At 47.9% G+C, this 14,069-nt stretch overlaps 1 protein-coding gene across 1 annotated transcript in view, besides 2 other annotated features; it reads left to right on the top strand.

The window, feature by feature from the left end:
- PSMB7 (proteasome 20S subunit beta 7) overlaps positions 9,120–14,069 on the top strand; it is a 61,978-nt gene continuing 57,028 nt past the window's right edge. Inside the window, exons 1-4 of the mRNA NM_002799.4 lie at positions 9,120–9,198; positions 9,627–9,720; positions 10,557–10,654; positions 12,070–12,210. Coding sequence (NP_002790.1) covers positions 9,137–9,198; positions 9,627–9,720; positions 10,557–10,654; positions 12,070–12,210 — 395 coding nt within the window. The 5' untranslated portion in view covers positions 9,120–9,136. The remainder of the gene's footprint in view (positions 9,199–9,626; positions 9,721–10,556; positions 10,655–12,069; positions 12,211–14,069) is intronic.
- Positions 9,164–9,213: an enhancer, noted in NCBI's record as "active region_28985". NCBI's record gives its function as "activates an Ori minimal core promoter by ATAC-STARR-seq in GM12878 lymphoblastoid cells {active_cell/tissue: GM12878}" and the evidence as "EXISTENCE:reporter gene assay evidence [ECO:0000049][PMID:35858748]".
- Positions 11,722–12,921: an enhancer, noted in NCBI's record as "MED14-independent group 3 enhancer chr9:127173920-127175119 (GRCh37/hg19 assembly coordinates)". NCBI's record gives its function as "activates an origin of replication core promoter dependent on BRD2, BRD4, P300/CBP and CDK7 cofactors, and independent of MED14, by STARR-seq in HCT116 cells {active_cell/tissue: HCT116}" and the evidence as "EXISTENCE:reporter gene assay evidence [ECO:0000049][PMID:35650434]".

The raw sequence follows: 14,069 nt of genomic DNA, 5'->3' as shown, positions 1-14,069 counted from the left end.
AAGAGCTTTCCAGAAGCTCCTATTATACCATTTTGCCTTCCCACTAGCAACCCTTAAAGGTGCTCATCTCACCAGATCATCCCTAACACTGAGTATTATCATTACAGAAAAGGTCTTTGTCAGACCTGATGGCCCCATGGACACAGTTCTGTCCTCCTCTTGCTTGCTGGAGTCTGTGGTGCTGGACTCAGGTGCTCTCCCTGCATCTCCGGGCACTCTGATCTTGGCGGCTGTGATGTCACTCCCCTCTAGTTCCCCTTCACTCCACTCTTTGCCCACTCGGTCTTTGCTTGCCTGACACATGGGACCATCCCTAGCTCTCTTCTCTCCCTTGCCCACTCTCCTGTGTTGTCTTCACATTTGGGACTTCCACAGCCTTCTCGCTGCTGTTGGAGAACTCCTGCAACTCTCTCCCCAGCCCAGACCCTTCTCTCGAGCTCCAGGGACCCACGGGGACCTCCAATGCAACGTGTCCCCAAGGCACCCACGTGGACCTTCCTGCTACCAAAGTCAGATAACCCGGAGAACAACGTCGACTCCTCCTTTTACCTCTCCTCAACATCCAAACTTCAACCATGTGCTGTCTATCTGGCCTCTGTCATATCTCCAGTGACTGTTCCCTCTCGCTGTTCTCACTGTCACCACCCTACTTCAGGCTACCTTCCTCTCCTCCCTGATCTGTGGCCGGAGCACCCCCACCGCCCCTGCTCTCCCACTTTCATTCTCTCCCTGTCCATCCGTCCTCCCACGGGCTGCCGGAGTGGTTTTCACACACTGTGATGTGTCAGCCTCTGTCCCCTGCCTCCTACTCTGGGATGCCCGGTTTCCAGCTGCCCACGCCCTCTTACTCCTCTCATCTTCTGTTCTCCAACAAGCCCAGCTGTTTCCCGCCTCCACGGATCTGCTCACACTGTCCCCTCCTTCTGGAATTGCCCACTCTCTTCTCGCTGCAACCCCAGCTAGCCAACCCCTGCTCCTCTTCTGCGTCCTGTTTACAGTCTCCTGTTTTCCTCAGAGCATTTGCTGCTGCTGTTCCTCCCCTGGGGGAGTTGACTTTTTCTCTCCTTGGAATCTCTGTAATCCACACAGTCTCTATCAGAACCTTCTGATCCTTTTACTTGCTTATTTATTTCTGTATCCATTTCTCTTGAGGGCAGAGTCTTTGTTTTCTTGTGCGTCGCATGGTACCAGACACAGGATTGGAGTTTATGTAAGGAACATCTGAAGGAGTGAATGAATGAGTGAATGAATGGAGCAGCATTTACCTAGGGCGAGGCAGGTCTGAAGCATGGAGAAGATAATGGGGCTGGATGTGTCTGGGTCCGGGAGACACATTCAGAGATGGATCCTGCAAGATTTGATGGAGAAAGCACCCGTGGTTCAGCAGCCTTCAGAATACCTTGTCCCGGGTGATGAGCCCTGTTCAAACCCCCACGTCAAGCAGGAAACCCGTTTTCTCTAGAGGTCATGTTGATTCTCTGCTCAAAAGCATTCCATGGAGGCTGGGGTGGTGGCTCACGCCTCTAATCCCAGCACTTTGGGAGGCCAAGGTGGGTGGATCGCTTGAGGTCAGGAGTTCAAGGCCAGCCTGGCCAACATGGTGAAACCCCATCTCTATAAAAATACAAAAATCAGCTGGGTGTGGTGGTGCACACCTATAATCCTGGCTACTTGGGAGGCTGAGGCAGGAGGGTTGCTTGAACCCTGGAGGCGGAGGCTGCAGTGAGCAGAGATCCCACTACTGCACTTCAGCCTGGGTGACAGAGCAAGACTCCATCTCAAAAAAAAAAAAAAAACTGATGGCTTCCCAATGTCCTTGCGATAGGCCCAGGCTTCTGAGCCAGCCTGCAAGGATTTTCTTCTTTTTGTTTTGAGACAGTGTCACTCGGTCGCCCAGACTGGAGTGCAGTGGTGAAATCTTGGCTCACTGCAACCTCCACTTCCTGGGTTCAAGTGATTCTCATGCCTGAGCCTCCCAAGTAGCTGAGATTACAGATGTGCACCACCAAGCCCGGCTAATTTTTTTGGTATTTTTCGTAGAGACAGGGTTTCACCATGTTAGCCAGGCTGGTCTTGAACTCCTGACCTCAGGTGATCTGCCCGCCTCAGCTTCCCAAAGTGCTGGGATTACAGGCATGAGCCACCACGCCTGGCCTCTACAAGGCCCTTCTTAACTGGGGCCTGGCCAGCTGGCCACATTGCCCCTGGCCCATAACCGGACTGATCTGCCTGCTATCCTGCCAGCCGGATGGCGCTACCACACCTCCGAGCCTTTATCTCTCTGTCTTGAATGCTTTTTTCTTGAATGCTTTATCTGCTCTCTCTGTCTTGAATGCTTTTTTCTTGAATGCTTTATCTGCTCTCTCTGTCTCGAATGCTTTTTTCCTTCTCTCCACTGCCATTCTCCAAGACTCTGTTACAGCTTCACTTCCTCCAAGAAGTCTGCCCAGGCCCTCCAGGCAATTGTGTCTCCCCGAATCTTCCCCTCTTTAGGGAAAGTAATTCCACTCTCTGCAGCCTGCCTTCCACAGACCCAAGTCTCAGCCTTGACTGTCCTCCCTGTGAAGCTGTGGGTCGGGCCCTGGTCCTTCTGAGTCTCAGCTCCTTTTTCTGTTCCTTCCCCCTTAAAGGATCCCACCTGCTGTTCCCTCCCTCGGAAATTATTAAGAGAATCAGGTATGCTAAAAGGAGAGGCTGGGATTAAGAACATGAGCTTTAACCAGGACAGGCTTGGGTTCAAATTCCAGTTCTCTTGCTGACCAACTGCGTGACCTTGTGTTACAACTCCTGTCTCCAAGTGGAGAGTCCCCTACCTGTAAGCTGGAAACCTCAGATGGTGTTTTGATGAATGAATTGGGTTGTGGCATGGAAGGTGATTACCGTAGCACCTGGCATAGAGAAAGGATTCAGTAAATAGATGTTAAACATGATGATTAAACCAGGTGGGGAGAGTGTTTGGTTGTTGGAACCCACTGAGGAAGTGCGGAGTATTCTCATGATTTCACTGTGACTTGAACAGCCCCTGGATACGAAGAAGGGAGGGATGCCCCCTCCTGCTCTCCAGCAGCTGGAGTTGGCAAACTCAGGGCCCAGCCGTCCCAGGCCTTGCTCACAGTGGTGGGGATTCTGGAGGTCTCAGGTGGGCCCCAAAATCTGCTCAGCACCCCAATAGAGTCTGGATGGGTGGTAGGAATCCACACTTTGAGATGCTGCCCTGTGCCGTGCTGCGCCCCTCCCATGGGAGCTGTGTTTCTGTGGCCCATGCAGCGAGGCTTGGCACCTGGGTGCTGTGCCAGGGGCCCTGGAGCCTGGAGCAGCTGCTGTAATTTATGCAAAGGAAGGCGCCCAGGTCTGCCCTGTCTATTTATAGCTTATTTATGAAGAAGGAAAAACAAGGGCCCAGTTGCCATAGCAACCAGGAGCATCATGGGCTGCTTTCCCTGCAAGAGGAAGATGGCCAAGTCTCCTTGAAGGGTGCACCCTCAGATGTGTTTACCGTGACAGAGGATGCAGGTGGGCCTTTGAGGGCCTGTCCCATGCTGGGTTCCTGGGCAGCCTGCAGGGTGGGTGGGGTGGGGGGTGCTGCTTATTGGGCTCTTGGAAAATCCAGGGTGATGCCAGGGCCACGCACAGCTGAGCTCTCGGCAGCATGAGATGCACCCTCGTCCCCTGGTCTTGATGCTAACTCTTGTCCTCTGGGTGCCCACCTGCAGCCTCAGGCAGACTTGGAAGCTCTTTCCCTGGCTGTGCTCTGGCTCGTGTCCTTTAGGGCACTTAGCACAGTGAACTGGAGGCCTAGACGCCAGACCAATGCCCCCAAGGCTGTCATCTAGCACAGGGTTGGCACCAAGCTTGGCACCAAGGAAGGGTTTAATAAATAATGAATACATGAAGTGTTGTATAGTTTACGATGCGTGTTCTTATTCGATGCGTGTGGGGCAGGATAAGCACTGCAACAGTCTGTCATTTTACAGATGAGGAAACTGAACTTCGGAGAGGTCAAGACACCAGCCTAAGGTCCTGCAGCTGGCAAGTAGCTGAGCTGGCCTGAGTCCTGGAGGAGGAAACCCCACCTGTGTGCTGGCAGAATACGAGGGAACTTGGGTTCCGGTTGGAACTCGGGTTCCAGTTGGGCCCTTATTGTCAGGGGTGGGGGAAGTGGTGCTGTGTGTGGTCTGTGGCTGGGAGGGGTGTGGTTTGACTCTCAAGTCATATCAGCGGTATGACCTTGAGCTAGTGACTTCACCTCTCCGGGCCTTGGTTGCCTCATCTATAAAGTGGGGCCATGATGCCTGGTCCCTGGGGACTGCCAGCTCCCTGAGGACAGGCTCTGTGTCTGTCTCTTGATTGTGCTTTCCTACTGCCTGGCACATTCTAGGTGTCCAGGGTGATCATGAGATCCTGCACACAGAATGGCTGGGTCCAAGCCCAGGATGTTGAGTGCTCTCAGGGACTGTTGGTTGTTACTGTGTTATTTGGGAACTGAGGCACAGAGAGCCTGATGGCTCTCCTGAGGTCACCCAGCCAAATCCACAGCAGAAGTGGTGGCTTCACTGGTGAGTTGGGGTTGGTAGCACTGCCAGGGATGAAGTGGGACTGTGTCCAGGCCCAGGGGAGGGCCAGCTGGGCTGGGCTGCAGTCCCAGGGGGCAGCAGCCATGCTGGGCAGGGAGGCCGAGTGGGGATCTCTGAGTGCTAGGGATCTAGGGTTGCCCTCCACATGCCTGGAGGTGCAGAGGCTGCCCCCATCCCTGCCCGGCTGCCCCCATCCCCGCCCGGCTGACTCCCTTGCTTTATGTCCAGGCCGCCTGGAGGCTCTTGGTCGCCCTCTGCTGGGCTCTGAGTGCCTCTGCGGGGCCACCTCCAGAGGCTGTAAGAGGAAACAATGTCCCCTCCTCAGCCCAGTCTGGGTGTGAAAAATCAAAGATACCAAAGAAACCCAGGTAGGAAGAGAAAGTTCCCTCAAGCAAATCGAGGTCACAGATCATTTCTACAACGGCTTTCCTAGCTCTCTGTGCTGTGCCCGGGGCCCTGGCTTCTCTTTTTTTTTTTTTTTGAAACAGACTCTGGCTTTGTTGCCCAGGCTGGAGTGCAGTGGTGTGATCTCAGCTCACTGCAACCTCCGCCTCCCAGGTTCAAGCAATCCTCCCACCTCAGCCTCCCAAGTAGCTGAGATTACAAGCGGGCGCCACCACACCCAGCTAACTTTTGTATTTTTAGTAGAGACGGGGTTTCACCATGCTGGCCACGCTAGTCTTGAACACCTGACCTCGAGTGATCTGCCTGCCTGGGCCTCCCAAAGTGCTGGGATTACAGGCATGAGCCACCACGCCTGGCTGGGCCCTGGCTTCCTAGCTCCCACTGAGACCCTACGGCGGGACTCAGGCACCCACCACCACCCCCCGGAGGCTGCAGGTACCACTGCAGAAGCCTCACGACTGTTTCCTAAAAACCATGTCCAGGGTTTTCGGTTTGGTTTTGTTTTTGGCACATCTCAAGCCTTCGCCCACGTGCCTGACCCTCTTGCCTTGTCGTCCCGATGGGCTCCACACCGTCTGAGCCTCTAGGCTTCCCTAGAGTGTGTGCCCCCCACTCGCATTCCCATGCTTCCCCCGCCTGGCAGTTGGCACACAGCGCTGGGAGTCTTTCTTTTCTGAGACTTCCTCTCCTCCCCTGGACTGTGAGCTCAGGAGGTGTCTGAGTTTCCTAGCTCTGTTATAACAAAGTACCACAATCTGGGTGGCTGAAACACCAGAAATTTATTGTCTCACCATTCTGGAGGGTGCAAGTCCAAAGCAAGGTGTCTGCAAAGTTGCTTCTTCTGAGAGCCGTGAGGCAGACTGTTCCAGACCTGGCGCCTAGCTTCTGGTGGTTTGATGGCAACTTTTGGCATTCCTTGGCCCATAGGATCATCACTCCAGTGTCTACCTTCATCTTCATATGGGGTTCTCCCTGTGTGCATGTCTGTCTCCAAATTGCCAATTTTTTTTTTTTTTTTTAGACAGAGTCTTTCTCTGTTGCCCAGGTTGGAGTGCAGTGGCATGATTTTGGCTCACTGCAACCTCCTCCTCCCAGGTTCGAGTGATTCCCCTGCCTCAGCCTCTTGAGTAGCTGGGATTACAGGCGCCCACCACAATGCCCAGCTAATTTTTGTATTTTTAGTAGAGACGTGGTTTCACCATGTTGGCTAGGCTGGTCTTGAACGCCTGATCTCAAGTGATCCACCTGCCTTGGCCTCCCAAAGTGTTGGGATTACAGGTGTGAGACACCATGCCCGACCCAAATTTCCAATTTTTATAAGGACGCCAGTCCTGTTGGATTAGGGCCTAGTGACCTCATTTTTAACTTGATTACCTCTGTAATATCAAATCAAATTCAATTCATTTGGAATACTTCCAAGTAAGGTCAGCTACTGAGTTACTAGGGGCTAGAACTGCAGAATATGAATTTATTTCCCTAATTTCAACGGAAAACTCAGAGGTAACGAAAGGGAATTCAACCTTTGACAAATGTTTATTAAACACACAGTTGTGATAGACACTGGTTCTAGGTGCTTCATTCATTCATTTGCACCTAGAACCATGTCTGACGCATAATGGGAGCTCAATAAATATTTGTTGAGTGAATAAATTAATTCATTCCACAGTCATTCAGGCTGTAAAAGGAGCCTTCAATTCCCTCAGTAAAATGAGTTGAATTACATAATTATCTCTTAGGTTTGTTGACAGGATGAAATGAATGTATTATTAATAATAACTATTTATAAGAAGCTTCTACATGCTAAGATAGATGGTCTTCATGTACAATGTTTAATACTCACAATAGCCTTATTAAAATGAAATTCACTGGCAAGGCATTGTGGCTCATGCCTGTAATCCCAGCACTTTGGGAGGCTGAGGTGGGCAGATCACTTGAGGTCTGGAGTTCGAGACCAGCCTGGCCAACATGGTGAAACCCTGTCTCTACTAAAAATACAAAAATTAGTCAGGCGTGGTGGCATATGCCTGTAATCCCAGCTACTTGGGAGGCTGAGGCATGAGAATCACTTGAACCCAGGAGGTGGAGGTTGCAGTGAGCTGAGATCATGCCACTGCACTCCAGCCTGGGTGATAGAGGGAGACCGAGTCTCAAAAAAATAAATAAATAAATAAAATAAAATAAAATAAAATAAAATTCACCTAACGTAGAAGTCACCATTTTAACCATTTTAAAGTGTGCAACTCAGTGGTTTTTAGTGTATTCATAATATCGTGCAACCAATACCACTATGTAATTCCAGAATATTTTCATCATTTTCCAAAAACTCTGCGCCCACTAAACAGTCCTATCCATTCTCTCCTCCTCCCCTAACCCTTAGCAACCAAACATCTACTTTCTGTCTGTGGATTTGCCTATTAAGAACACTTCACATACATGGAATGATACACTATGTGGCCTTTTGTGCCTGGCTTCTTTCCCTCAGTATATTTTTAAGGTCCATCCCTGTTGTAACATGTATCTGTGCTTCAGACTTCTTTATGGTCTAATAATATTCCATTAAATGAATTTACCATATTTTGTTTATCCATTCATCAGTGGATGGACATTTGTTTCCATTATTTGGCTATTGTGAATAATGAGACCCCCCCCTCGCTTTTTTTTTTGAGACGGAGTCTCTGCTCTGTTGCCCAGGCTGGAGTGCAGTGGCGTGATCTCAGCTCACTGCAACTTCTGCCTCCCTGGTTCGAGCTATTCTCCTGCCTCGGCCTCCTGACTAGCTGGGACTACAGGTGCCCACCACCACGTCTGGCTAAGTTTTTGTATTTTTAGTAAAGACGGAGTTTCACCGTGTTAGCCAGGATGGTCTCAATCTCCTGACCTCATGATCCGCCCACCTCGGCCTCCCAAAGTGCTGGGATTACAGGCGTGAGACACCGCGCCCAGCCAATGAGACCCCTTTTGACGCAGGGCAGGTAAGCCCCAAAGTGCGGCTGAGCCCACAAGGGTTCTTGGCTTTGCCCAAGAAAGAATTCAAGGGCAAGTTAGAGGCAGAAGAAAACGGCTTTATTGAAGTGGCGGCGTTACAGCTCCATGACTGCTCCTGCAGAGCAGGGTTACCCTCTTAGGCAGAGTGTCAGGGCAGTTTTGCTGTCATATTTATACACACTTTTAATTACATGCAGATTAAGGGGTGGTTTATGCAGGCATTTCTAGGGAAGGGGTAGTAACTTTTGGTTTATGGTGCCACTGCCATGGAAAGGGGCGGTAACTCACGAGTGTTGCCATGGCAACGGTAAACTGACTTGGCTGGCTGGTGAGCGAGTCTTAGGGAAGACAGCTTCCGTCCAGGCCCTGTTTTAGCTAGTCCTCAATTTGGTCAGGTATCTCAGCCCCATCTCTGAATGGAGGCCTGCCTTCTACCTCACCTTTGTAGAAGTTTTTGTGAATACATGTCTTCAACCCTCTCGGGTGCGTATCTAAGAGGATAATACTTTTTGGGGAACTGCCAAATTGTTTTCCGGAGCAGCCGCACCGTTTTGCATTCTCACCAGCCGTGTATTCGGGTTCCAATTTCTCCACACTCTCGCAACCCTTGCGCTTTTCTGTCTTTTTGTTTATGGCCATCCTAGCGGGTGCGAAGTGGGATCTCACTGTGGTCGTGCTTTGCATTCACCCTATGACTAATCATGTTGAGCCTCTTTTCACAGACTTAATGGCCATTCTACAGCAGCCTTTTGAGCTAGGTTGTAATCTCCATCTGATAGCGGAGGAAACAGATTCAGAGAGTTGAAGAGACTTGCTTAACGCAAGGGGGTGGTGGGGCTGTGCCTGGGACTTGGGTCTGTCTGTCTCTGAAGCACCGCAGAACCAAATTAACGGTAGAAACAAGTCCAGTCTGAGCGGCAGGAGACCTGGTCGCTGGTGCGTTCACCTTGGACAAGTCCTTTCCCGGTTCCGGGTGTCACTTTCTCCTCCGTGCCACTTGGGGCGATATACTTCAAACATCTCTGGCCTCTCTAGGAACCAGAATCTCTAAGATCAATCGTTCTAGTGCGGCGTTTGCCCCGCCCCTTCAGCCCCCGTTGCCAGCGACGCCGGAAGTGCTCGGCTCTTTTTGTTTGCACCCGCCTCCGACCCGGAACTGCTTTCTTGGGAAGATGGCGGCTGTGTCGGTGTATGCTCCACCAGTTGGAGGCTTCTCTTTTGATAACTGCCGCAGGTGCCGCCTTGCTTGGGGCTTGGTTCAGGGAGGGAGAAGAGTGCGGTGCTCGGGTGGGAGCTGGGCCAAGGTGTGATACGAGAATTCTGAGGGAAGAATTCATGGCGGGGCCTGTGGCCCGCGGCTAGTGTGACTCAGGGGAATCAGGGCCTGGGCGTGGGTTTCTCCTGAAGCCGGGTCTGCTCTCCCACCTTCCCAGCGCACTCGGCCACCGTTTATCTCCGTCTCCTAAGGCACGTCACGGCCCCTTTGTAAGACTGTCTTCGTTGGAAAACGGGAGAACAGTGCTGATGGTGGGAGGATTCATTAAACAGATGGGCGTGAAAACAAGTAGCAGCTTTCCTGAGTTCTCTGTTAGGCACTTTTCATGCCAGTGCTGTGCGATGTGGTCCTGCCCTTCAACACTTGATTCTCTCATTTGCTCTTAGGAATGCCGTCTTGGAAGCCGATTTTGCAAAGAGGGGATACAAGCTTCCAAAGGTCCGGAAAACTGGCACGACCATCGCTGGGGTGGTCTATAAGGTAAGCCGGGTTAGGCTAAGAGCAGCAGTGACTGAACCGGCAACAGGAATCAGAACACTTGGCTTCCGGTGTCTCTCCCGGCTCGGTCTGGAAAGGCAAATGCTATAGAATACATCAGGAGACCGTCTTTCAGGAGCGACTGCTTTTGTCAGGTTTTGTGTGCTTCTTAACAGTTTATGTTCTTTCCTCACTTTGCTGAGGTTTTTTCTTTCTTTCTTTTTTTTTTTTTTAAACAGGTCAGTTAGCTTCTTAATTACTAGTTTAGGAAGCTGAAGTATGTGATGGGAGATCACGAGATTTGGGGTCAGACAGGTCTGTCTCACCTTTGAACTCTATAGTGCTGATTCCAACTTCTGGCAGCTCACTTTCCTTCTCACAGGGACACCTTCAGATGCATCAAATGGAGATAACTCCTGCCTTAAATTGTTGGAAACGTCAAAAGGGATAATGATTACCTGTGCAACATGTTTTAAAGAAAAGCAACATGTTTTAAAAGGAAATTGATAGTGATGGCTAATTTAATGGAAAGATTCCTGAGTCTTAATCCAGGTTTTTTCCAGATTAGCTCTGATTTACAAGGAATTTACCCGACACCTGAGCCTCACTTGAAAATGGGAATAATTCTTACCTACTCAGGATTCAATTAGTAGCATTTACTAAGAAACCTTTTCTTAAATCCTGAAAGTGTAGCACAATATTTTTGCTATGAGTTTTGGCTGGCGTTTTGAGATTAGGGGAGCATGTGGTATGGCCAACATAGTATTCCCTAAAGTAGAATAGAGAGTTGCGGTTGGCTTATATTTGTAAAATTGTTTAAAAACTTTTTTTTTTAATAGGATGGCATAGTTCTTGGAGCAGATACAAGAGCAACTGAAGGGATGGTTGTTGCTGACAAGAACTGTTCAAAAATACACTTCATATCTCCTAATATTTAGTAAGTATTGATTCGTTTGAATAACTCTTATATTTTCAAACATGTCAGGGCTAAAAATTGACCTTCCTGTGCTCCTTACTAAAACCTGTTTTTCAACCTGTATTTTCTGTCTCCCTTAAATGGCATTTCCAGCCACCTGTTACCTAAGCCAGTAACTTCAAGTCCTCTCTTTGCTTCAGTCTCCAATTGAATTGGTGGCCAGTTTTGCCCTCTCTGTGCCTCTTGAATCCATTCCCTCCTATCCTTTCCTTTGCTAAGGCTCTAGTTTGGGTTCTTTTTTCTTTTTCTTTTTTTCAAACATTAACTTGAACCATAGAGGTTCTTTTTTCTTAGCTGGACTATTGCAGTTACCATTTAATTGGCCTCTCTTAGGCATCCTATTGTTCACTCTTCTGCCATACTGGATTTTGTAAAACATAGATCTGATGGCATCCCTTTCTTAAAAAGCTTTTCAAGAGACTTGTCACATTTCCACATGGCTTTTAGGATAAAAATCAAAATTCTGTGGCCTTGCACAGTCTCATAGAAAGCCTACCCTTCAAGCGTCTTTTTCAGTTGCCATCACCCTGTGCTCCAGTTACGTCTGAACTGTCCCTATTTCCCTCATCTCCAAGCTATTCTACCGTTGCTTATGTGAGATTCTATTTAGAAACTCTGCCTTCTCTGCTTGTAGAGTGTTTTTATTCCAGCTCATATATAACCTTTTCCTTTTTTTAAACATTTTTTTCGTTCTTTTTTTTTTTTTTTTTTTTTTGGGAGAGATGCGGTCACACTATGTTGCCCTGGCTGATCTTGATCTTCTGGCCTCAAGTGATCCTCCCGCCTGGGTCTCACATAGTGCTGGGATTACAGGCATGAGCCATCATGCCCAGCCTGAAACCTTTTCTTAATGATCAGAATCAATTACCTTCTCCTCCGGTTTCCCGTAGGATTTTGTACCTATGCTATTACTGTGTATTAAATTATGTGTTATAATTTTTGTCTTCTTGTGTATCTTACACTCAACTTTGAGCACAAGGCCTCTCATATTTTCTTTATTCCCAGTGCTTAGTGTAATTACTGGTATCTGATAGTAAATACTTGGTAGATGTTGAATTGCAAGAGTTAACACACCTGGCACTTCTGTACAACTTGGATATATTTGTAGCATTAATGGAATGCACACACTGTTATCACAGAAACCAATAATTTCATGTGTTCCATTGGGCCATAGATAATGTATTTGCATATAACTAGATGCATATTCTCAATTTTCTGTTTATTTAAGGTTGACTAAACAGAGAAGTTACAGCATAGATATACTCAAAAACATCTCTCTGTACCTGAACTTCATGGAAGTTATCCAAGAACCCATTACTTCTAATTGAGCCCTCTGGTAATTGGATTTCAGCTAAGTTTCTAATTGGATTTTTCAGTTGTTGTGGTGCTGGGACAGCTGCAGACACAGACATGACAACCCAGCTCATTTCTTCCAACCTGGAGCTCCACTCCCTCTCCACTGGCCGTCTTCCCAGAGTTGTGACAGCCAATCGGATGCTGAAGCAGATGCTTTTCAGGTAAGTTTCCAGAATGGGGATTCCTACTAGTATCTTCTTCTCATATCTTAGATTTTTTTCAGCCAAGAGAAGCCTGGAAAGTAGCAAAAACACATTCAGAAATACACATTTTGTTCCGGAAATCAGTTGTTATATTAAAGAGCCATTTTAAATGGTTTTTGATGGTGCATTTGAATTTCTGGGGCCTGATTTTTTTCATGAGTAAATCACATGTCACCAGTTGAGTCATTTCCTGGAGCATAGGGATATTACTGGATAAGAGAAACTTTTTTGTTCACGGTAAGAAAGTTATAGCTGGAGGAACTATCAAGTTGTCTTGTGAAACTACTCTCTCCTCCCCATAAACACAAACCCAAATGATTGTCTCTCCTTCCCCCCACCCCCTCCCTTTAGGGGCAAAATAACAGTGAATGAAAAGTGATATTTATAATTGGCTGTCAGTGGGTATGATAATATTAATATTAACCAACCTTTATCTACCTCTTACTCTGTTCCAGGACCTATGCTAAAGCGCTTTATGCACGATTTCATCCTTTTAACTCTGAGATAGGGACTATTAGCGTCTCCTATTTGTAAGTGAAGAAATTGAGGTTTAAAGAGGTGCAGTAGCTTGCCTGACCTGACCTTCATTCTCTGCTGACTCACAGCTCATATTAGTAGTTTTGTTTCTCTTTCTCCTTTAATAATTGCGTCATTACTTTATGTTTGTATGGGTCTTGGCAGTTTTCAAAGTGTGTTTTCTCATTTGCTTCTCATAAGAGAGGCAGTGATTTTAGGAGAAGTAGCCTGGGCATTTAGTCTTGGGTTGGAATACTGGCTTCTCCTTTTGGGACTTGCCTTACCTTTAACAAATTCTTTGCCTTTTTCCTTCTGTGTAGAATGGATATCATAATACCTGCCCCTAGTGGGGTGGTTGTGAGAATTAAAGGGGAGCACGGATAGACAGTAAAGATTTTAAACTGGTGGCTCATAGGCCATCAGCTTGTAGGGAAATTTGTTTGGGTCATATGGCCTTTTTTTCTTTTTAAATAGTGGCTAACAATTGTAAATGGGGAGATTTGAATTAAAAGTCTAGATTTTGGCTTGGCACGGTGGCACACGCCTGTAATCCCAGCACTTTGGGAGGCCAAGGTTGGCGGATCACCTGAGGTAAGGAGTTCGAGACCAGCCTGGCCAACATGGTGAAACATCTCTACTAAAAGTACAAAAATAGCCGGGCATGGTGGCGCTTGCCTGTAATCCCAGCTACTTGGGAGGCTGAGACAGGAGAATCGCTTGAACCTGGAAGGTGGAGGTTGCCGTGAGCCAAGATCACGCCACTGCACTCTAGCCTGGGTGACAGAAGAAGACTCCGTCTCAAAAAAAAAGAAAAAAAAAAAGTCTAGATTTCTGTCTTTTGAAAACATTGGAAACATGTGGCCGTAATCTTCGGGAACTCATTGGTGGTTGTTGCCTTAGAAGTGGGAGTGGGTGCTCTGTCACTTTCTCTGCCTGGCTCACTTCACTGTTCCCTTCAGGGCCCTGGCCTTCCTGATAATTTGCGGGTCCTCATCTATGTGTCTAGCATGGCCTGTGGGTTTTCAGTAGTGTATATGAGGTTGTAGCAAGGCCAGTAGTATAGTTCCCATTTTACAAATGAGACCAAAGCCTAGAGTCATATGGATAGGAAGCCTTGTCTATCCAATTGCTGCTTTATGTTTGTGTACGTATCATTATTCTAATCCAGGAGAATTATTGCCAACCAAATTCTCCCAGTACAGTGAGTAGAACTTGTTAAAGCACACCTATTGATCAGATTTCTGAAAAGATTTGTGGATTTTAATTTTAAATATAAAGCTCCCTCTGGTGGCTTGCTTGGT

Source organism: Homo sapiens, chromosome 9 (assembly GCF_000001405.40).
Source record: "Homo sapiens chromosome 9, GRCh38.p14 Primary Assembly".
NCBI classification, from domain to species: domain Eukaryota; kingdom Metazoa; phylum Chordata; class Mammalia; order Primates; family Hominidae; genus Homo; species Homo sapiens.
This window is presented reverse-complemented; position numbering and strand designations above follow the sequence as displayed.